The 24,402-nt window shown below is 42.2% G+C and overlaps 1 protein-coding gene and 1 pseudogene across 3 annotated transcripts in view; one reads left to right on the top strand and one right to left on the bottom strand.

The window, feature by feature from the left end:
- Window positions 1–24,402, top strand: part of ASTN2 (astrotactin 2) — a 991,946-nt gene that overhangs the window by 116,182 nt on the left and 851,362 nt on the right. For all 3 annotated transcript variants that reach the window (NM_014010.5, NM_001365069.1, NM_001365068.1), the window contains exon 2: window positions 7,363–7,550. In NM_014010.5, the coding sequence (NP_054729.3) occupies window positions 7,363–7,550 (188 nt within the window). The remainder of the gene's footprint in view (window positions 1–7,362; window positions 7,551–24,402) is intronic.
- RN7SKP125 (RN7SK pseudogene 125) lies at window positions 21,590–21,891 on the bottom strand (annotated as a pseudogene).

Genomic DNA, 24,402 nt, shown 5'->3' with positions numbered 1-24,402 from the left:
ACATACAGAACATTTATGGAGCCCCTATTCAGTTCAGCCACTGTACCAGGCACCAGGCTACACAAATAATTCTGACATGTCCCTGCACTAGGATCCAATAAGGGAAGTCAGCTGTATAGACTATTTTAAGATATATATATATACACACACACACACACACACACACACACACATACATATGCACATATATATATATATATATATACACATATATATATACACACACCAAGACAGTAGTAAAAGAGGATACTATAACTATGTATATGAAGTAATATATAACAAATGTAACTGTGGAGTGCTGTCTAAGTATCAAGACCAACCTAACAGCTAATTTGTTTGTATTATCTCATTTGATTCTAAAAACGACCCTGTGAGGCAGGTGCTGTTATTATCCTCATTTGGTAGATGGGGGAACTGAGGCATGAAGAAGCGAAGAGCTTGCCCAAAAACACACAGGTTGAACACATGGGACCTGGGATGCAAATTCAAGCAGTTGGTCTCCAGACCCTGTGATCTTATGCAGCATGCAATATTCCTCCTTATGAAAGCATGGAGGAGCACAACATATTAAATTAGGAAAAACACATAGTATATGTGGTACGTTATATAAATATCTGGTGAGAATTAATATTTAAGTGCAAGGAAAGGCATAGGAAGAGATCAGACTGGGGAGAAATGCACATAACAGGCCAGGAAGGGCCTTGTGTGTCTGGTTCAATAAATTAGGTTTTATTATGAGGGATAGTAGAAAACATTGGAGGGTTTTGAGCAATGGAATTATATGGTCAGTTTGACAAGTTAGAAATTTCATCCTGGTAGCCATTTAATGGTTGGCTGGAAGGAAGGAAGCCCGAAGGTAGGGATACCTGTTAAGGAGCCTATTCATTTACTTCTTGAGATCCCCTTTCCCACCTGCTGTGCACCCAGGAAGGCTGACTTATATGATTTGTTTCATTTAAGCATTCTTGGGCGTTTAGTCAAGGTCAACTTGTGTGAGACACCTGCAAAAAATTGGTGGGTAGAAGGAGGATGAGGTTGGGAAATTACCCTCTTGAAAGCTTCCATCCTAGGTTGTGCATTGGCAGTGGCTGGATTATTTTAGAAAAAGCTATAGTTCTTATCTGGTAGCTATATGGTAGCCCTTTCCTACAGCTATGGCATTTTTAGGGTTTGATAATCCCCCATCCCCACCATCCCTTGCCCCTTCAGGCCTAGGGTGGTAACAATTCCTTGCTGTTATCAATGTGGGAGTACTTCGTTGCTCATCATTAGTTTGCCTTAACCTAGCCCAAGCCTTTGTAAATGCTCCCTTCATTAAACACTTCTCATTGACCTTCCTGAGTATGTCTCCTCTTCTCTGATGAGACCCTGACTGGCACAGAACCATTTGCAATAGCCCATGAGAGAGATGATAAAGCTTTGCATTAATTAAGCATTTTAGAGATGAAAAAGGGCATGAGTATTTGCGATTATTTCCCAGGCTCACTCAGCAAGACTTGATGTGTGACAATCACCCATGAATGCTGGAATAGCTAGTGGCAAGGTTGGTTAAAGTCAACACCACTACCTTTCCCAACTCTTTCTGCCCGGGCGGTGAGTTCATCTCATGTAATGTCTGCTTTCCCCACAGTGAGAAAAAGATCATTTGCAAACTCATTGGAAGCTTTCTCTGGGCTTCAGCAAATAATCTGCTGGAGGGTCAGCTGGTGCTGTAGAATCAGAAGGCCGGTTAGTTAGCCACTTGGGAGATGTTACCAAGATGGCTGGTGATGAGAAGAGCTGCTTATTTTCTTAATGACCTTCAGGAATTAAATAAAAATACAATGAGTGCCATAGATTAGGAAGAACAAGCCGATTAAAAGCACAACATGCCTTTGGGATTTTTTATTTCTTTTCCGGGAGGCTGAAAGGCATCAGTGGCCACCGAGGCAGGATGGCAGTCTACCCAGAATCACTGATGAAGGCTGATCCTCTCTCTCAGCTTCTGTGGGGCAGTTGAGGGGATTTGAGCCTGTTGAATATTTCACGAGTTGCAGCCCATGGGGGAGAGCAGAAAAAGGTGAAAAGGCAATCCCTGTGTTTCTTTATGATTCCAATATAAAACCAAGCTATCCAGGGTGGGAGGGAGGCAGGCACTGGAGTCAGCCTACTGCCAAAAGGCATGGTGCACCAATTCTCCCACTTTAATATCTGCTGTTTCATTTTATATTCATCATGTCAGCATAATCTGCCTTTATGGGAATCATCTTGGTTCCTGACCCAATGCATTTAGTCCCCCTTTTGCTTAAACTTTGATTGTAATATGACTTGGAGACTTCAATGAAATGTTTATATGGAAGGAGTAGGGGAAGAGAAAAGGGAAAATGCAATTGGAAAATCAATCAGCAGAGAATCTCAAGAACTGGTTTTGGTCATGTTACTGTTCTATTAACCTGTTTTTAAGGGACACAGGACTGGTTTTCTGACCAAGTGTACTCTACTGGTTCTGAATAAAATGTACACAGTATCACCAAGCATTCAAAGCCCTTAACTCTGTGTGTGAATTACATTTCTTTCTTTCTTTCTTTCTTTCTTTTTTTTTTTTTTTTTTTTTTTTTTGAGATGCAGTCTCACTCTGTTGCCCAGGCTGAAGTGCAGTGGCACCATCTCAGCTCACTGCAACCTCCACCTCCCGGGTTCAAGTGATTCTCCTGCCTCAGCCTTCCGAGTAGCTGGGACTACAGGTGTATGCCACCATGCCTGGCTAATTTTTGTATTTTTAGTAGAGGCGGGATTTCACCATATTGGCCTGGCTGGTCTCGAACTCTTGACCTCGTGATCCGCCCACCTAGGCCTCCCAAAGTGCAGGTATTACAGGTGTGAGCCACCACGCCAGGCCCTGAACTACATTTCTCACCTGACATTCTGCTCCACTCCGACATACACACGCAGCTTCATGCCCCTGCGATGACCAGCTGATCTCTATGCCTTCTCCTCCTCCTCTCTGAGGGACATGAATCTGTCCATCCTCTGCAATGCTCCTACCACCACCTTCTGGAAGTAGTTCTTGGTTGCAAGCTGGGAGAGTCTTTTCCCACTTTGGAGTTTTCAATCGACCTTTACTTCTTCTTCTTCTTTTTTTTTTTTAATTCTCTGATGAAATGTAACACTCTTTGAATTCTATTTTTTAGTCCCTCCACCATTTTATTATGGATGTGTGCAAGTAAGTGTGTTACTGAGTCACTGAAATATATGTAAATACATAAATATATATATACCAAATCACTGAAATATATATATATATGCATTAAGCATTTTAAAGATGAAAAAGGGCATGAGTATTTGAAATATATATACATATATGTATGTAACTCAGTGATTCAGTAATTATTTACTGAGCATGTATTATGTGCCAAGCACTTTCCAAAGTGCGTGAGAGATGGCAGGAAATAAGACACACAAGGTCTCTGCTCTCCTGGAGAGAGAGACAATAAACACATGTTCAAGGAAATGTAAAGCATAAATTTATTTCTTTCTTTCGTTCTTTCTTTCTTATTTTATTTTATTTTATTTTAAAGACAGGGTCTCATTCTGTTGCCCAGGCTGGAGTGCAGTGGCGCAATCTTGGCTCCCTGCAACCTCCACTTTCCGAGTTCAAGCGATTCTTGGGCCTCTGCCTCCTGAGTAGCTGGGATTACAGGTACATGCCACCATGCTTGGTTAATTTTTGTATTTTTAGTAGAGATGGGCTTTCACCATGTTGGCCGGGCTGGTCTCAAATGCCTGGCTTCAAGTGATCCGCCTGCCTCGGCCTCTCAAAATGCTGAGATTACAGGTGTGAGCCACTGCACCCAGCCTGAATTTCTAATCATGATAACTGCTGTAGAAAGTTTTTGTAAAAGGGATATAATAAAGGTTGGATGTGTGTGAAGAGGACCACTTCAGCTAGAGTGGACAGGCACAGCTTTTCCAAGCAGGTATCATTTGGACTGAGAGACAAACACTGAGAAGAAGACAGCTCATAGGTTCTGGGAGGAGAGCGCTAGGAATGTTGGGCAGAAAGTACTCATGGCCTGAGACAAGTGGGAGTCTGCCTTGTTTGAGAAACAGTTGTAAGTCCTGCAGGGATGGAGTGTGTGAAGAAGGGGTGATGGTAGAAGATAGTCCCGATAACACACAGTTGCCTGGACCATGGTCAATGGAGAGTGTGTATGTGTATGGACAGTAACATGGGCAAGGAGACATTTGGCTGGGTAGAATTTCCACTGCTAAATGATTATGAGCTCCCTGAAGGCAAGGCTATGTCTCATTTAACTCCGTGTTCTGAGCTATTGAGCTGCCTGGGATTGAGTAGGTGTTTGATAAGTATGTTGAATAAATAAACAAATGCATGAATAAATGAATAATGAGTGAATGAATGATCGAGGCCTTCTGCTTCTGCTAAAGCATTTTTCCCTTTAACATTTCATACCCCTCCTCTCTCCTCTTCAACAACAGTTTCTTTTCTTTGTAATAAAGTAAGTCCGGAGTTATTCTCTGTGATTCAATATTTACTGTGTTTCACACACTGTTATTATCATTTAACGTTTACTGTCTGCTGATTGTGCACTCATCGCTGTAGCAAACAAAGAGCTCAATCTAGTTTTGGTTCATGGGCTAATTTAGTCAAGAGAAAGGAGATGTAAGTGCAACTGGCATAGTAGAAATTGCATGGACTGGAAATCCACTGGTTCTAGCTAGGTACAAATTCACCAGTGAACTTAAGTCACTAACCTTCTGAGACCTTCTGCTTTCTCATCTGAACATGGAAAGGGGAAGCCTCTTTAATAGTGGGATTTCAGGCACAGGCTGGAGAGAGTGCTAGGAGCAAGGAGCTCAGATTTCCACAAGCATCCCTCTGCTCGCTCCGCCTTCAACTGTGCCAGGCTGTGTCAACCAGATGTAGCCTACCTTGGAGCTTTCTTCTGGTGCCATTCCAGGGACTCTCAGCACGTGGAGTGCCTGCCTAGCCAGCAGCACATGGAACTACTGAATTAGACACTGCTATTTCTAGTGCAGCTTTCAGCCCTGGGTTCCCTGGACCTCTGGTTTTAGGCTTTGATGCACTGAGAGAAAAATGAGCCAGACCATTTACCATAATGTCTTCACCTTGCCTTGGCCCAGCTGGCTGTCTGCCAGAGAAGCTACTGCCAAGGCCTTGGGTGCTAAGGCTGGGAGGGGGTCAGTGGGGCAGCAGATCACCCCAGCCTGGGATGAAGAGAAGGTGCTGAGAGGAGACCTACCACTCAAATTGATCACCCAATCAGCCCCTCCCCAGAACGACAATGGGTTCTCAGGGCCTTTGGGGCCTGTGCTCTAAGTGCTGACAAACCTTCGTGATTATCTCAAGGCCTGTTCAACTCTTCCAGCTGCAAGGGAAGCCCAAGCATGTGTTTGCTTGGCCTAATAACTTACTATGTTCTCACCACTTTGTCTTTTACTTGGAATGAGTAGGAGGCCATGCAAAGACTGTAAATGGAGGGCTTAGTGATGTGAGATGACTTTTGCTTGGCAGGATTCCTCTGGCTCCTGGCTGAGAATAGAATGGACAAGGGTGGAAGAAGAGAGTCAAGTTAAGGAGTCCTTGCAGTAAGCCAGGCAAGACAGCATGACGCCTTGTCCCATGTGGCTGATGTAGAGGGACTGCAAAGGGTTGAATGTTGGATGACTTTGGAAGGATTTTCTGATGAACTGAATGAGGAGTGGGAGAGAAAGCAAGCTGTCAAGGATGGCTCATGGTTTGTTTGTTGTTTTTTTTCTTTTTTTTCAGAGCAGCTGAAGGATGAATTAGATCCTGTTCCTATCAATAATGATGATGATGATGATAAATCAATATCTAACTTAAAAATTCGTAGCTAACATTTTTTAGCCCTTATTAAGTGCTAAACACTCTTCTCCTAAGGATTTTTGATTGTGAACCTCAAGGAGGGAGAGTCTATTGGGCATTGATGATATAAGAATAGTTCAGTGGAATTGGGTGATGAGTAAGTGATTTGGTAGTATCATCTCCTCTTCTTTTCAAGTTGATTCTTTTTCATTCCGTGTCATCAGATATGATGGGTGCTGCAGTGGGACATGGAGAGAGCTGATTGGATAAGTTGCTGTAACTCAGCTTGCCTATCAGCTCTCCTCGTGTGTGTGTGTTTGTGTGTGTGTGTGAATGCACTCGAGGTCTTTGGAGACTGTAGGAATACTGCCTCAAGGTCATAGCTGTCTCAGGAGGGAGGGGTCAAGGTTCTAAGCCTCTAGCACCACTAAGACTACTTGTCTACTGATGGACATTATAAAGGCTATTTGTCTCCTGTTTGTCTCCCTTGAATGCAGACCTAATAATCCTCCAAGAAATCCACCACCCTTCTCTTGTATTCATGCATAAGATTCACTGATAGGCCTTGTCTTTCTAGGACATTTGCAGGCACATACACCTTTAGTCAAGGGGACTTTGGAACAATTGTACAATCCCCTTGCAATGACACTTTCATCATCTTATGCCATGACCCTTTTTTACTAATAAAAAGGTATGATACATTGAACAAAAATACTATTCAAATGATAATCACTTTAAAAGTATTTACAGAAGGAAAACCAGCATAGAGATAAGAGTTAGAAACTTCAAGTTGGGAGATTGAATTTTACAATTTACTAGAAAGTCCTCACTCCTCACTGGCTATATGAGAACGTTGGGATGGGGCAGTAGCTTTGCCAGTATTTTTAAGCCAAGGAAACTTTATGCCAACATTTCCTTGCTTGGGAGTGCAGTATATACCTTACAAAAAATGGAGCTGCTCTTGTGGAAGCAAGAGGAACACGCTCAGGGCAACCCTCTTGGCAAGCTCCTTTCCCATGCAAGATGACCCTGAGCTACCTCAGCTGAGTTGGTGCTCTCTTGGGCCTTTCTGGCTCCGAGGTTTGGCCATGAGTACTTCCAGCTCAACTTCTAAAGAATCCACACTCTCAACTCCCACTCCTTTCATGGATTTCTTTCCTTCATCTTCTTCTAGTTCCATAGCCACAAAAGAATGAAAGCACTTTTATCCTTAGTTTCATTCCACTATCAGAGTAGAATGAATTACCTGATCACATGTGATGTACTAAAAACGGCCTCAGACAGATGTGGGTGCAAACCCTGCTTCCACTACTCTGTTACTTTAGGTGAATCTTGGTCACAGTTGACTCATCTATAAATGAAAGTGATGATCCCTATCTCATAGACTTGATGTGAGGAAAGGTATCCTGGCAAAAAATGGATGCCTTCTGAGCTCCTGATTATGTGGGCTCTTTTCCTCCCTGGAGCACCAAGGCCAGGCGTACGGCTCACCCAGTGCCTCGGGTCTTGTCTTGCAGAGATGTCTGGCACAGCAGCGGACATCTCGCTGGTGCACTGGAGACAGCAGTGGCTGGAGAATGGCACCTTGTACTTCCACGTCTCCATGAGCAGCTCCGGGCAGCTGGCCCAAGCCACCGCCCCCACTCTCCAGGAGCCCTCGGAGATTGTTGAGGAGCAGATGCACATCCTCCACATTTCTGTGATGGTGAGTGATGGGGGGATGTGACCGGGGTCGGGGATTGCGTGGGGGAGGAATGGGTGGAGAGATGGAGGGGGCGGGGGATTGTCCACAGATGGAAGGAAAGAACCAAACTCAAGAGGTTAGAATGAGAAACAGAAAATCAGATGGATTCTGTGATGTCACTTGGACTGATGCATACCCATCCATCATCTGTCAGCTGTGACAAACTAATTGTGCTTCAGAGAAGAAAATAAAGGGTCTCCAACTCCTCGGCCTTTTGGCTGACATCTCTGGGAATAGCTGTTTAACATCTGTCATGTGCTTGGCCTGCTTTGCTGAGGGCTGAGGTTTGGTGATTCAGAATACAACTGGCCATTCCAAGAATGACTGAACAAACAAAATTGGAATAAAACCAGAACAGGCTGCCTTTTCCTAAGTACCCTTGATGTGTCAGGTGTTTTAACCCTTGCAACAACTGCATGGTGGCCCTTGTAGCTGGGCTGGACGTAGCCATTGTGGGGGTCCACAGAAGCCCCTCCATAATTCTCTTTATAGTTGTGAATACTGTGGCTGAGGGGCAAAGAAACTTACCTAAGATCACATAGCCAGCGAATGATGGAACTACTCTTGAGTGTTCAAATCCAAGCATATCTGGCTACTAAGCCTGAACTATGTCCTGTACACCCTGTTTTCTCTCAATTCAAGAATTTCTTGAGTATCTACCATTTGTTAAGCACTATACTGGATACATGTATGGAAATTATCTCATTGTGCTCTTGCCAAGAATGGATGAGGTCCAGCGAATCACCTCCACATGTTTGCAGAGAGAGGATGTGGCTGTTCAGCTCTGTTGGCCCCATGATACAGAACTCTGAGTCTGCTGCCTCCACCCAGAAGGTTACTAGGGCTGGAATCACTTGAGTGGTAGTCTAAAAGTATCTGGGCTTATATTATATGCTTTCTTTAAAAAGCTATATTTATTGGCATTGCATGGTAGATAGAAAAACAAAACCAGAAAATAAATCCAGTAGGTAGAAAGCACAGAGTCTAATGGGCTCAGGAAGAAACTTCACATCTTTCTGATGCTTTATATTCCTCAAAGCCCCTCTTACATTCACTTCTCCTTTTCTTCTTTAGTACGGCTCTGCCAGATACCCAAGGTTAGGAAATGGTATCTCCAACATACATATGAGGAGGCTATGGCCCAGAGGGGTGAAGTGATTGGCATAAAGCCACTCAGCAGAGCAGAGCTACCTCTCAACCCTCATTGCTTCCTTCAATTTAACAATCAGCAGTATTTTTTGAGACTCCACAACGGAGCGACCTTTAGTTTTAGTCTCTTTCTCGTTTCTCTTCAACGAACACTGTGCATTAGACATTCTGATTAGGGCTGAGTAAGATCTTAGAAGTTTTCTCTTTTTGGAAAAACACATACACTCCCCAGCCAGACAGCAATGTTAATTTTGGACCTTACGCATGCTCATCACGTGGAGGAACAAATCAAGGCCTTTGTGTTATTCATGGAATGAGTGTGATAGACTTTTTCCATATGTATATTTAGCAAATGATGCAGCCTCACACCAAGCAAGTGGGTGCCTGCATGCTAAGTTTGGGGTGCAAATTTATAAGCACCATCTCAGGGCACTTGCTGAGTTCCTCATGGGGTGTGGGACACCATCTAATGTTAGGAAGAGGCGGAGGGGTGTGAATGCTCTTCTTCCTTTAACATTTGAGAGTGAGACTCAATTTTGACCAATGTTCATTAAACATTTTCTGTGTTTCAGCACATTTACTTGCATGTATCCTTCTTGTAACCCAGTAACCTGGATAGTATTATCTCAATTATAAATGAGCCTCCAATGTGTCTTTTTTGCTTCCAGGTCCAGTGTTAGTTTCACTGAATCAGACTTTCTCCCCAGGATGGTAGGTTTTCCTCAACTTTCCCTTTTGCTCAGTGAGTTCAGCTTCGAAATAATAACTCACTAAGACCCAGATGTCACTGAAATTCCCTGTAGTTCCAGATTTGGCTGGCAGAGTAGGTAACGTGGAAGCTGGCACCCTTCAGACCCTCCCCACCCATGAGCCAAAGTGACCCAAGGCTACCACCGTGTGGTCCAAAGTTCCTTCCCCCATTCAGGGCTCCATAATCTGGATCTCTCCTGTCCCTGCCCTCCCCTCAGGGAACAGAGTCATGTCTTGGAGACACTGAACCCCAGGGTGTTCTTCCTCTGAGAGGTGGGGCATGCCAATAACACTGCTCTCTCTAGAGGTAGGAAGACAGCCATAAGCACAGACTTGGAGCACAGACTTGAGGTCTCTCTCTGACACTGAACTCGGGTATGAGCCCTTTGTCTTGTTTTTGTCATTTATAGAACAAGGATTATACTAATAGTTATGTAGACACAACAAGTCCTCAGATCAGAGGAGCTTGGCACTTAAGGGTATTTGCTTTTGTTAATAGGGGCAGTTTAGTTGAAAAACTTGAGATGTGCTGATTTATTATACCCTTTTATTCCATAGTTGGATACTGAGGTCTGGGACAGGCTAGGACTTGTCTAAGATCCCTCAGTCAGTCAGCAGGGCTTGGCCTGGAGGTCAGGCCTCTCTGTGGCTCAGACTCTACCCTTGTCATTCTGGCCACAGACAATGCAGCAAGAACAAAAAGAGTGTTTACATTTAAGATGGCTGGGATCTGTCTCCCCATTTCACAACTGAGAAATCTGAGATTCATGAGTTTAATTGATTTGTCTAAGTCTCCTGGGCTAACAAAAAGGCAGTTCTGGGGCCAGGATTTCCCCAGGATTAAAACTTGTGTCTGGCAATTCATGACATCATGGCCCTGACCCTGCTGGATACACTATTGTTTTCATCTTTGGTGAAGATCCAAGGTGGTTTGTGAGAAGACCCAAATCTTCTAGTCAAATCTCAAAGAAGTCTGGAGGCTAGGGTCTATGCACTCCATCCCCTTTTGACAGCACAGATATCCTGCTCACCCATGCAGGGAAACCAGCTCCCATTCAGCCACTGGAACCTGCTACCATCCATGCCTCCTGGGGTGGAGCCATCATGCTTTGTAGGCTTGTGAAGGCTAGAGTCGAGCATCTACCTTGTCCCAAAGGTTGCATCATCTGAATATTAATATCACAAAAGGTGATGCAGCAAGGAAGTACTCTGAACCTAGTCCAGAAAGTGAGAGTAAACAGTCATCTCCTCTTGTCCTCTGCCTCAGCTTCAGCATACCCTCCTCAGCTGTGCAGGTGGCAGGATGCAGAGAAAAAAAGCAGAGCGATGGAATTCAGCAGACCTGGCTCTGAATATAGTCTCTTCTACTTCCTGCTTCCTGGTAATTTTACGTTAGGCACATCCCTTCATGCCTCTGAGCCTCAGTTTCCTTATGTATGAAACAAAACTGATCATACCAATCTCACAGAATTATTGAAAAGAGTGGAGAAAAATTATTGAAAAGAGTGGAGAAAAGAGTGGAAAAAACATACAATGGTGCCTAATACCCAGGCTGGCACATACTGAGTGCATAGTCACAAATGGCTATTAATATTGTCATTGAAGCAATGTTTAAAGGACTTCAACTTAGGAGTAAAAAGACATTGGCTTTAGTCTTATATTTGCTGCTATTTTGCTGCCTGATCTAGAGAAATAATCATAATACCTGACATTTATTTTGAGTATTTACTGTATGCCAGGCAGTGTTCCAAATTTTGTTCTCTGCATATTATCACTTTCAATCCTCACAACAAACCTTAAGATGGATACTGTCCCTCACATGAGGAATCTGAAATGTTAATAAATACCTATCTACGTGACATTGATCACACAAAGGTTAAGTGGCAAACCCAATTTTTCACTCTATATAAGCTGGTTTCAGAAACTATGCCCTTAATCTATATAACAGGCCACCATTTTCCTTCTCTATGCATCCGTTGTTGATTTAAATTGATAAGATTTCATGAGTGAATTCTTACGAAGACTGTACCCTATGTGGAATCCATGGGTATTTTATGAGGGTTTATGACTTGGAAATCAACTCCATGGTTGAATAATGTCTCTATCACTACCTTTGTGTCCTTGGCCAAGTTACCTTCATCATTTGTAAAACTGGAATAATATTCCCCAATACTTAGAGATTTTTTTTCTAGGCACGGAATGAGATCACACTCACAAATGCCCTGCACAATGAAAATAATGACTGCCACCACTGAGAACTTTCTGTATGCCAGGCACTAAGTGCAGCACCTCTATTATTTCATCTAATTGTTCCAATGCCTCTATATGATAAGTAATGTTGTTGCCCTTCATTTACAGATGAGGGCTTAGGAGTTAGTGGGATTTTTGCATCTTGCCCATCCACATCACCAATAAGTGCTGAAGTTGAGATTCTAACTCTGGTCTGTCCAAACTGAGAGTCTGTGTGCTTGGGCACAGTTCTGCATGGCACAGTGCCTGACATTCTGTAAGTGCTCAAAAAGCAGTAGCCGTTATTAAAATGTTAGCTATAGTGAGGGTTATCATGTCTGTTATTTTATAGAGTATTCACTCCAGGTGCACAAAACATTTGATAGAAATTGGAAACTTGTCAGTTAGGGAGAGGAGTTGCTCATGCCAGCATTTTATAGATAGGAGAAAAGAAATCCAAAGCAGGCTGAGTGATTTGACTACAGGTGCAAAGTCAGAGGAAAACCATGGCTTGAATCCTGGGGTGCACTTTACATTGTTTATCAGAACAAGCTATTATGGGCCCCTAACTATTTGCCAGCTAAGTTTGTGATCTACATATGCAAACTTGCAGGATAAAGAAAGAGGTTCTTTTAGTGTTGGTATCCTTATTTAGAAAGTGGGAAGCCAGGATTGTCTTGATCTCCGGACCTCGTGATCTGCCTGCTTGCAGGCAGGAGGCGGAGCTTGCAGTGAGCCAGGATCACGCCACTGGACTCCAGCCTGGGCAACAGAGTGAGACTCTGCTCAAAAAAAAAAAAAAAAGAAAGTGGGAAGAGTTTATCTGCTTCACGCAGGCATGAGGAAATGCAATAGGTCCTAGCAGATGTGATCACAACTTCTTGTTTCTTTTTTGCATTTATTTGTTTTTTTCATTTTGCTTTTTGTTGCCATTGCCATTGTCACATTGGCATTTCAATATATATTTCACTTTTGCATAGATCAAAGTTGCTTTCAACAAAAATAGTTATCACTTGTGGTTCAGAGGGTTGGTCATATAATTCTACTCTTTCCTCCTCTCCCCCTTTTTAACAGTGAGAAATATAATTTCATTTTAATGTGATGTGTCTTGTTTTAAAGATTTCCACAAGAGTTACTAGATAGAAACTGTTTGAGACCAATATGTTTTATCTTGGCGCTTTTGTTTTTTCCCTTTTGTCTTTGTGGTGACAAAATGTTTTGAGAAAGGGGATGAAAAGAAATGTTTGGTTTGATGTAGGAGAAGAAAAGAATTTTGAGGGCATGTTTCTCTCAGAAGGATCATCCCAAAGAAAATGCCACGGATTTGTATTGCTGGCCTCCAATGAGGGAGGATTCAGGATTCCAAGAGGTCAAAATTCTCATGCACGACAGGACAAACACTTCAAAGTGTCTGAGCTATCCATCGGTGGAGTAGGCCGAATCAAGAAGTTGTGGGTTTCTTCTCCCTGAGTTTGTGCAGGCAAAGTCACTGGGGTTTAGAGAGGAATAATAGTTAAATTAGATGACTATTGTAGTTGCCTCCAATTTAGATGATCTATGACTCTGTGATATAATAACATAGAATAATACTTTGAGGAATATAAAATGTCACACAAATCTAAGAAATTATTACTACCATTCTTATTCAGTAGCTTTGTTTAGAGGATCGGTGTGATATTGGGATAACACTTTTTAAAGGTTTCTGTAAAAGATGGCTTTATATCATTGCTCCAACCGTGACGTTTTTTCATTCATAGCATATTCCTTCATTCATTGATTTAATCATTCAATCATGGAATGGTTTACCTGCCTATTAAATCTAGCAATGAAAAGCCTATCTGCTAGAAAAAAAAGAGATAGAAAAAAAAAAAAAAAAGCTTTTTACAAAATCAGCCACCAGCTCAGATTGAGCCAACTATGGGGTCTCATTGCTGAAAGTGGTCTTATATTTTAAGTTGAATTAATAAAAGGCTAGGTTTCTGAACAAATAATTCTAGAGGTACTGGGCGAGAACTGAAATATTGTGTTTATTTTTGGGGCCATATCTTAAGAGAAACAGTAACTGAGTAGAAATAATAACTGAGTAATCAAGACATTGAAGAATCTTAATAATGCTAACAAGCACTTTTACAGTGCTTAGTGTGATTGTACTTGACATGTATTTAACTCATTAAATTCTTACAGTAATCTCAATAGATATTATTACTCCTGCTCTACTGTTGAGAAAATAAGCACAGGAAGTATAACTAACTTGTAAGACCTGTGACTCTGTGTGTTCTGAGGTTCACATTCTGGCTCCATAACTGACTTGGTAGTAGTGGGATTTGAGCATGTACTTTCTCTGATGGAATTACCTGTCTAAAGAGGGGCTGTTGTGAGAATCATCAGAGATGATAGATATAAAGCACATATGCTGGAGCCTGACACACAGCCCTGGTTCTATAAATGTCATTACTCTGCTACTTATAAGTGCATTAGCTTCCTAGTTTGCAATAACAAAGTACCACAAACTGAGTGGCTTAAAAGACAGACATTTATTATCTCACAATCCTGGAGGCCGGAAGTTTAAAATCAAGATATCTGTGAGACCATGCACCTTCTGAAGGCACCAGGGAAAGATCTGCTCCAGGCTTTCCTTCTAGGTTCTGGTAGTGCCTTGGCTTATGGCAGCAGAACTCCATCTTCACATGGCATTCTGCCCATGTGATGTCTGTCTCTATGCCCCAATTCTCCCCCTTTTATGAGGACACCAGAGGCCAGGTGCGGTGGCTGAAGCCTGTAATCCTACCGCTTTGAAAGGCCGAGATGGGTGTATCACCTGAGCTCAGGAGTTTGAGACCAGCCTGGGTAACATGGTGAAACCCTGTCTATAGCAAAAATACAAAAAATTAGTTGGCCTTGGTGGTGTGAGCCTGTGGTCCTAGCTACTCATGAGGCTGAGGTGGGAGGATCGCTTGGGTCTGGGAGACGGAGGTTGCAGTGAGCTGAGATCATGCCGCTGCACTCTGACTGGGTCCCACCCTAACAACCTCATTTAAAAATTGATTGCCTTTATAAATACCCTGTCTTCAAATAACACCACATTCTGAAGTACTGAGGGTTAGGAGCTTAACATATTGCTTTTGGAGGACCCAATTCAACTGAAAACAATAAATATTTAGGCTGGTGCAAAAGTAACTGTGGTTTTTGCCATTGAAAATAATACCACTACTGACAAGATCCACCAATGTATACTAAAATTAATGGTGAAACTTTGAGAAATACCATTACTTTCAATGGCAAAAACCACAGTTACTTTTGCATCAACCTAATACTGCCACCATGTTATTTATAAGTAATATCATTGAAGGTCACTCAGGACAACTAGGGTAGGAGAAGCCAAGCTGTTACAGACTGTGATTCCCAAATGCTTTTCAGAGAAAAGACAGAGTAGTAGGGAAAACAGATCCTGAGAGGGATTATTTAAAATGTGAGGATGGCAAACATCTAGTAGTGGAAAAACCATGTAATACATGCAGCACAAATAGTTATGTGTCTCTGCTGTGCCACCAATATGCTCCATGATCTTATGCAAGTCACATCCCCTTCTTAACCTCACTGCACCCATCTAAAAATGAAGATACCAAGCTTATATCAATTGCCAAGGTATGATGAAGTTTTGTAACACAAATATCCCAAGTACTTTTTTACAAAAGTGGGACATACCCCATGAGTATCATTCACGTTTTTTTTTCCAGAAAGTAGAACTTTTAATATTGTAAGTATAGACTTTAAAAAATACTTTAAAATTTTAAGTCACATGAACCTTGTGGCTTGGTCTTGACTTGCTTCAACAACATGGTTTCACTAAAAGCCTGCAGGGTCTCTAGCTAGGCCTGTGGGCAAAGTAGGAAAATAAGCCATAGCTTCCATGTGTAGGAAATATAGGAAATGCTTATTTTTCACAACATTTAGAGATGCACCATAGCGAAGTAGAATGAGCATGGAATTTGGCTTCAGGAGGCCTGGTTTCAAGCTTAGACTTCCACATACCGGCTATAGAAATGCAGGCTAGTCATCTCACCTCTCTGAGTTTCTTGTGTGATCATTTGCAAAATGGAAATAAAATTAAAATCATAACATCAAACTTAATGCACATAAAACCATTTAGCAAGAGTTTCCAAAAAAAAAAAAAAACAGTAGAAGTATGAAATATAGTGGGATCTTGGAGCTGAAAACACCTGAGACCTCATAGAATATCCAACTCTTCCAGGCTAGTCAGCTCTTGCTTGTTTATTCTGCAAACAGACCACTCTAAATCATAGTGCCTTGGCCACACCATGCTTTACTTCTCATGCACCTTACACATCGGCAGCTGCAGTCACTGCAGGCTCAGCTCTGCTTGTCTTCTCCTTCTGGTACTTTGGCTGAAGGGGAGCCCCAGTTTGAAACATTTGGTTTTCATGGCAGAGGGAATGAGCAAGAGAGCTGGCAAAAATATAGGATGCCTCTTGAAACTGATGCTCAGATGTGGGTTCTCTCACATTCTATCGGCCAAAGCACATCACATGGCCAAGCCCAGAGCCAATGGCAGGGGTGTGCAATTCTTTTACAGGGGGTGCACATGCAAGCAATTGCCACAGCAATAGAATGTACCCCACCTTCATGTTGTAGATGGGGAAAATGAAGCTGGAGAATGGATGTTCTTCATCCCTGTCCCATTAGTGTGGGCCAATGATAAAGCCCAGATGGAAAAGTTTGACAAGGGTATCTTGGAGATGGCAAGAGGCAGCTCAGGAAAAGGGCCTGAAGGCAGTTCCACTGAACCTCCTGGCCAAAGCACAATGCAGAATAAGAACGTGTATAGCTATAGCTATGTATATATAATATGGACAGAGGGAAGCAGAAGAAAATACCGACAGAAACATCCAACCCATGTTGATTGAGAAACTATTCTATACTAGGTACGTTGAAATTACTAGAGACGGAGAGAAATAAAGAAGAAACTGAGAGAATGGGGCACCAAGGATGGGAGAGACATAGAAAAATAAAGGAGAATTGGCAAGAACAGACAGAAAGGGATTTAGCAACAAAAGCAGAGATGGGGGAAAATGAAACAGAGAATAAAAAGCATGGAGGAAGTGATACAGAGAGAAGAGAACAGGAAAAGAGAGAGACAGCGAGTAAGAGAAGCAGATGGAACTCAACCTCAAGAAAGGGCTGGGAGTCGGGTAGCGAGGTAGATGGAGTGAAGGGCGGGCAATCGGGGTGATCCGAGGCTGAGGAGGCAATCAAGCCCAGACAGCATCCAGCAGAGATGAGAGGGCTGGAGGCAGGGGCACCCAGCACTGTGGATCTGAGAAGAGGCCATGGCAGGGCAGGGTGGACTGGATTGCAACAGGGAGTCTGGGAGAAGGGAAGGAGAGGGGAGATCCAGAGACTGCAGGGAAGTAAAGTGGGGAGGGGCGGACAGGTTGGCAAGAGAGTCAGGGCGTGTGTCCCCTTGGTGACCATTCCCAACTTCCTCTGCCCCAGCCTCCTGTTCCACATTTTCCTCCCCTTCAAGAACCTGGGGCTTTTGTGTGGTATTTTAACAGCAACACAAAATGAATGCTGTGAGCACATTTGCAGTGAGGTTCACGCTGTTTACTCCCTTTCTCATATGCCCCAAATAAGCCCACAGTAAAAATGGAAAGTGAGCTTTGATTTGGATATATTGGAACTTCTGCCTCTCCCTTCAATTAATCCACCTTTCTCCCTCCTTCCCAGTCTTCAGAGCATAGCTTGATTTGGTGGGAATCACGTGGTTTTGGAGACAAGACAGATGAGGACTTAAACTGTGATTCTTTCCCTTACTGCTGTGTGTCCTTTGGCACATTACTGAACCTTTCTGAACCTCACTTTCTCCTGAGCTGTAAATGAGGCGAGAGATCCACATTCATGGGGCTGAGGGGAGGAATAAGTGATAAAAGGCTCATGAAGCATCAGCAAGGTGCCCAGGGAAGGTCCCTTTCTTCTCCTTTGGCCTCTAAAAATATTCTTCCTACTCTGTTATCGTTCTTGGCCTTCACAAACATCCTTTGAGCTATGTTGGGAGGTTATTAAGAATATTGACTTTAAAATACTGATATAAATAATTGACTAAATAAATAAATGGGGCAGAAAAGATTGCTCTTTCTTACAGTAGAATTCCAGTTAATAAATGTAGAAGGAAAGAGGGAAACAGAAAATCACCATTAGGCAATCACCACTGTAATAATTACTACTGACAAGATCCACTGATGTATACTAAAATTAATGGTGAAATTTTGAGAAGATATAGGGTATTTGTGGAGTCTCAAAGTGTCTCCCCCCAAGACATTTATTAATTACAGAAGGAAAATAGTGACTTTACAGTGGAGAAATCTGGCCGATACCACTTGTATTTGCTTCCTAAGGCTGCCGTGACAAATTACCATAATTTAAGAAGCTTAAGACAACAGAAATTTATTCTGTCACAGTTTTGGAGGCCAGAAGTCTGAAATCATGGTGTTGGCAGGGCCACACTCTCCCTGGGGCTCGAAGGGAGAATCCTGTCTTGCCTCTTCCAGCTTATGGTAGCTCTTGGTTTTCCTTGGTTTGGGCTATTGAACGCTAATTTCTACGTCCGCCTCCATACTACATTCTCCTGTGTCTTTTCTTCCATGCGCCTCTCATTAGGATGCTTGTCACTGGATTTAGGGTTCACCTTGATAACTCAGATTGTTATACATAAGATTTTTTTACTCAATTACATCTGCAAAGACCCTTTTTTCCAAATAAGATAACATTCACAAACTCCAGGGATTAGGGTGTGGGCATATCTTTCTGGGACCCACTATTCAACTGACCACACCACCTTAACCAAGTCATCAAAATTAACATCCTCACTCATCAGACACATTGACGTTATGAATCCACTGAAGTAATGCACTGATAAGGACAATGTCATTTCTGTGGGTTTCTTGCCAAAAATGTATAACCATTCTAATCATGAAAAAATATGGACAAACCCAATGATGGGCATTCTACAAAATAATTCACAAGCAATGGTCAAAAGTGTTAAGATCATAAACAACAAAAACAACAACAAGGAAAACAGTAATTGTCACAAATTGGAGGAAACTAGGGAGATATGACAACTAAATGCAATGTGGGATCCTGGACCAAAATAAAAACATTAGTGGAAAAACAAGGACATTAGTGAAAAAAATTAAAAAAATTAGTCCTTATGAGAGACACATGGAAGAGAAGGCACAGGGGAAGATGGTATGAAGATGGAGAGAGAAATGAGCATTATGTAGCCCAAGCCAAGGAAAACCAAGAGCTACCATAAGCTGGAAGAGGCATCATTTGTGAAACTTGTATAAGGTCTGTGGTTTAGTTAATAGTGTTGAATCATGGTTAATGTCCTGGTATTCATTATTTTATTATAGTTATGAAAAATGTTGACATTGGGGGAAGCTGAGTGAAGAGTACACAAGAGCTCTCTCCTAAATTTGCAACTTCCTGTGAGTCTATAATTCTTTCAAAATAAAAAGGCTAAAACCCAAAACAAGAATGTTGACTTTGGGACAGAACTGCCTGGATTGGAATCCTGGCCTCACCACGTAACTTGTAGAGTGACATTGGTTAAGTTACTTAACTTCTCTGTGCCTCTGTCTTCTCAACTGTAAAATGGTGAGAGTAATAGTTTCTACAGTTAAAAGTTGGTAAATATGCAAACTCTATACAAATGTTGTATTAATGATACTATTGATATTGCTGTTTTTACTGTTCCGTTTTCACAAATGATAAAACCAAGGTCTAGAAGGTTAAGACAACTCTCTAGTATGATCACATAGCCAGTGTCCGAGCCCAGAATTAAACATATATTTCTAGTTCCAAATGAGCTCTCTGCTCCATCTGCTGTATAATATTTCCTTTCTTATAGGGGGCAAGGATGGATAAGGACTTTTTAGGAGCTCATCTCCATAATCATCCAATTACGAGACTATGAGATATTGAGGCAAGCCTGACCCTGGACCATGGAAGAAGGCAGCCAGTTCTTTCTGGCCACAGATATTTAGAATTGATGAAAACAGAAATTTCTGATTTAATTCTCAAAAAACAAAAGCGTTTTAAAAACTCCAGTTCAACCCCTTTAATAGAGTGAAAATAAATACAAAAACAAAGCTTTTAGGTCTCAAAGGGTGACTCACGATGTCTTACAGCAGGTTGATGACAGAGCTGGCCTTCCCATCTAAATCTCAGGGCAGTGTGCCTGTGTCAGGCTATAAACTGCACCCAGCAGAAGGCCCCTTGCTCCATGCTGAGGGAGCCACTCACGCTGTAGGTTCAGCGCAACTACATTTCACTTCACTGTGGTAATCCTGTCTGCAAATCCACCGATACAGTCAAACAATTACCCAATTCAAACTTCGGCTGCTAATGTTCCCAGCTCAAGGGCGTCTTTAATAGCAAAATAACACTTGTTTTTTCTTCCTTCCTTCTCTGTTTTTTCCTAATCTCTCCCTGATGAGACATAACATTAATTACAGCAGTTAACAGAAATTCTGTCTCCATTACTGCCTGCCACCTTCTCCATCTTGGCTTCCGCCTCTAAAATTTCTCTCCTGAATGAAGAGGGGGAAGGGGTTAGGCAGATGTGGTGATGGTATTTATTTACCTTTTTCTCTGCTCACCTCCTTTGTGCTGAATTTTAAGTCAAGTAGAATCAATATTTTCACTGGGAGTGTGCGTGAGTGTGAATGTGTGTGTGTTGTTTGTGTGTGCCTGCTTCATAATCTAGCTGTCATTTTGAGCTAATTGTGTTGTTTCCTCTTGTGTGGAAGGAAATCTTATCTGTTTTGGATTAAAATTCAATGAAGGTCATAGTGGCTGGAAAACTTACCAGACTGCTGCAATTAATGTTCATTTGGCTTTGATAAATTGGAACGTTCTCCTCAATAGGACTGGAGTGGATTTCAGAAGCAATAATTCTTCCATTAATTCAATGATTCCGCCTGTGACGGAGGACCTTGTCCTGCTTTTGTTTGTCATCTGTCACTTGGAGGAGCTGGGCATATGTCAGAGATGATTTATCATGATTACAGCGCCTGCTTGTATTAAAGCATTTAAAACCACTAATTATTTTTACCCCCTGTAAATTGCTTTATTAAACAAAATGTGAGGTTGGAATTGAGGTAGAAAATTTTTTTGTGTCTATGTTTTCCACAGTTGAGGGATTATTACAAGTCATTTGCAAGAGCTAGGTGAAAATGAATCTATCAGAGAAATAATACCGAGCACTTACCATATGGTGGGGAATATGCAGGGAAGTTTATGTGCATTATTTTACTTATTTCTTGAAACAGTTATTTAGGGTAGTTTACCCAGATCACCTAGGAGGAGACTAAAATCCATAGATAATATATATTTCATCCTACATAAGCAACATAATATTGGTAACCAAGTGTCATGATTCTAAAGTCCTTGCACTACCACTATTACTAGGAGGTTTAAAAATTGCCTGATATTATTTTCTCCTGTTTACTGTTGGTATTTCACTAGGTGTGGAGCAGGATTTTCTTCCTACATAAGAATTACCTAGGGTGAAATTTCTGGATCATATGGTAGTTCCATTTTTAATTTTTTGAGGAATTTATCTACTGTTTTCCATAATGGCTGTACCAATGTACATTCCCACTAACAGGGCACCAAGGTTCCATTTCATTGAGTTATATACATTAAATATGCACAGCTTTTTACATGTTAATATATCTCATTGAAATGGTTTCAAGAATAAATTTACTACCACTACCAACAACAAAAAGAATTCTCTTGTGTGTTTGTTTAAAAGATAGTTTCCTGAACCTTACCCTATGTATGCCTGATCTGAACACCAATTAGAGGTTTTGGGGAATTTACAAAGGTGGAGAATCATAAACTTACAGCTCACTGAAAGCTTGTTTGGAGGTTCTAGCAGGGGCGTGCAGCTACTGTATGCCCTTGACCAAAAAACAGTCCTCCTCTATTGGGGATGGCCATCCTCTTCAACGGAGCATACAGCTTTGGGAGGGACACACATAGAGCAGTGAGGGGGGAAGAGGACACCTCCCTTGCCAGACAGATCAGCTGAATCAACCCTGGAGGTCAATGGAGTGACAGATGTTGCAGCCAGATCGCCCTCATGTCCACCTACAGTTCATCGAAACCATTAGGGGGAAAGTCACAGCCTTAACATGCTAATTTTTAAAATTATTATTTAATTCTCACAAAATCCCACCTGGCAAGCATTGATATCTCCATCTTATGGATTGGATCATTGTGGTACATCAAGTGAAATGGCCTTGCCCAAGACCACACAGCTAGGGAGAGACTGAGCTGGGATCCACATCCTGTGTTTGCTCTGTTGGCAGCAAAGCTCTTGCTTTCCCATGGCAGCCTTATCTCATCCCCCTCTCCCCCGCCCTTGTCTCTCTGTGCCCTCAGCCCTCCCTTCCTCCTCTAAAATTCTGCAGGGGTACAAGCACAAGCAGCTCCGGGCTTTCCCCATGGACACCCTCTTCGGTTCCTGTTTTATTACAGTCCTTATGTGTCCTGATGTTCCCCTAATGAAGTGTCCAGAGGCCTGCCCTGTCTCAGCTTTCCTTAATAGGGAGTGAAATATGTTGGTGGCTGTGCCAGAGGCTTTGTTTAGATGGTGTGTAAAGTCACCAGAGGCTGTCTGGGGGGAGATGAGGGTCAGTTCCTCTCTCTTGTGGTAGCAGATGTTCTCAGGTGAAGGATTCCCACTTGCAGGGAAGGTCTGGGCCATCAGAATGATTGCAACAGCCTAGTATGGGAGAGGAGAGTCTGTTGGACGGGATCTCTCAGCCTTTTGATAACCGTGTGATCTTGGGCTAGCTACTTGCCTTCTCCTGAGCCTTGGTTTCCTCAAATGTAAAGTAGTGCCAACAATAATACCTTCTCAAATAAAATCATTGTGAGGCATGGAAGCATCCATGTTAAGTACAGACTTGGTGCCTGATAAATAGAAATTTCTCAATAAATTGTAGCTGTTCTTGAAGCTCAAATGCTCTTGACCAACTAACATTAATAGAACATGATCCCATTTAAAATTTCATTAAAATCTCCTGACAATATATTAAGCAGGTGTTTTCAGTCAGAATGGCAGATATTATGGACTGAATTGTGTTCCCCTGCAAATTAATATGTTGAAGCTCAACCCCTAATGTGACTGTATTAGGAGATACAGCCTTTAAGGAGGTAATTAAGGTTATTTGGGGTTATAAGAGTGAGCTCCTAATCCAACAGGACTTGTGTCTTTATGAGAAGAGACACTAACTTTGGGAGGCCAACGCAGGCGAATTACTTGAGGATAAGAGTTCGAGTGAGAACAGCCTGGTCAACATGGCGAAACCCTGTCTCTACTAAAAATACAAAAATTAGCCAGGCATGGTGGCACATGCCTGTAATCACAGCTACTTGGGAGGCTGAGGCAGGAGAATCCCTTGAATCTGGGAGGCGGAGGTTGCAGTGAGCCAAGATTGCACCACTGCACTCCAGCCTGGGCAACAGAGTAAGACTCCGTCTCAAAAAAAAAAAAAAAAAAAGAGGGAGAGATAAAAGACATCAGTGAAAGCACACCCACAGCAGAGAAAGGGCCATGGGAAGACAGGGCAAGACGGTGTCCATCTCTAAGCCAGCAGAAGCCTTACCAGAAACCAATCCTGCTGGTGCCTCGATGTTAGACTTCCAGCCTCCAGAACTGTAAGAAAATAAAATTCTGTTGTTGAGGCCATCCAGTTTTTAGTATGCTGTGATGGCAGTGTGGGCAGACTAATACAGATTTTGGTACTGTGAAGTAAGGTGTTTCTGTAAAAAAAATTCCTAAAAATGTGAAAGTGGCTTTGGAATTAAGTAATGGGTAGAGGCCGCAAAGAGTTTTGAAGTGCATGTTGGAAAAGCCTAGGTTGCTTTGAAAACACTGTTGATAGAAAAAATGGATGCTAAAGGTGCATGTGGTGAGGTTTCTGATGGAAATGAGGAAGATGATATTGGAGAATAGAGGAAAGGCAGTCTTTGATATACAATGGCAAGAACTTTGGTGGTTAATGATTATTCACAGATGAAATGTGTAAGAATATACTCATTTTCTGGATGAAAAGCCTGAGATTGCTCAAGGTCACACAACCACCCAAAACCTAGATTCAGCCTTGAGCCCATGCTGTCTTCATTAGCATATTGATTAAGAAGCTCAACCCCTAACGTGACTGTATTAGGAGATATGGCCTTTAAGGAGGTAATAAGGTTATCTGGGGTTATAAGAGTGAGTTCCTAATCCAATTGGAAGAACAACTAACTCAGAGGAAAGGCCCACCCCTTTTGAAGACCATTTCTTGGCCTACTACTTGTATGACCTGGAAATAGTTGTCTAACCTGTCAGAACCTTACAGTGATGGAGTGAGGCCTTGATGAGATAACTTGAAAGAAGTTCTTGGTAACTCACCTATACGAAGTGCCATGGCACCTCCAGTGTTGTGAAGCCTTTCTTCATATCTCCAATATTCTGTTTTCTTGACTTTGAATTTAAGATGCTAACTCATATCTTCAAAGATTGTGTGGAATGAAATGAGATAAAGCAGGCACAATGCACAGGAGAGTGCCTGGCACATAATAGACACTGGGTTCATGGCCACTGTGA

The sequence above is a fragment of the Homo sapiens genome, chromosome 9 (assembly GCF_000001405.40).
Source record: "Homo sapiens chromosome 9, GRCh38.p14 Primary Assembly".
Lineage (NCBI taxonomy): Eukaryota > Metazoa > Chordata > Mammalia > Primates > Hominidae > Homo > Homo sapiens.
Note: the sequence above shows the minus strand (reverse complement) of the source record. Positions and strands in the feature narration are given on the sequence as shown.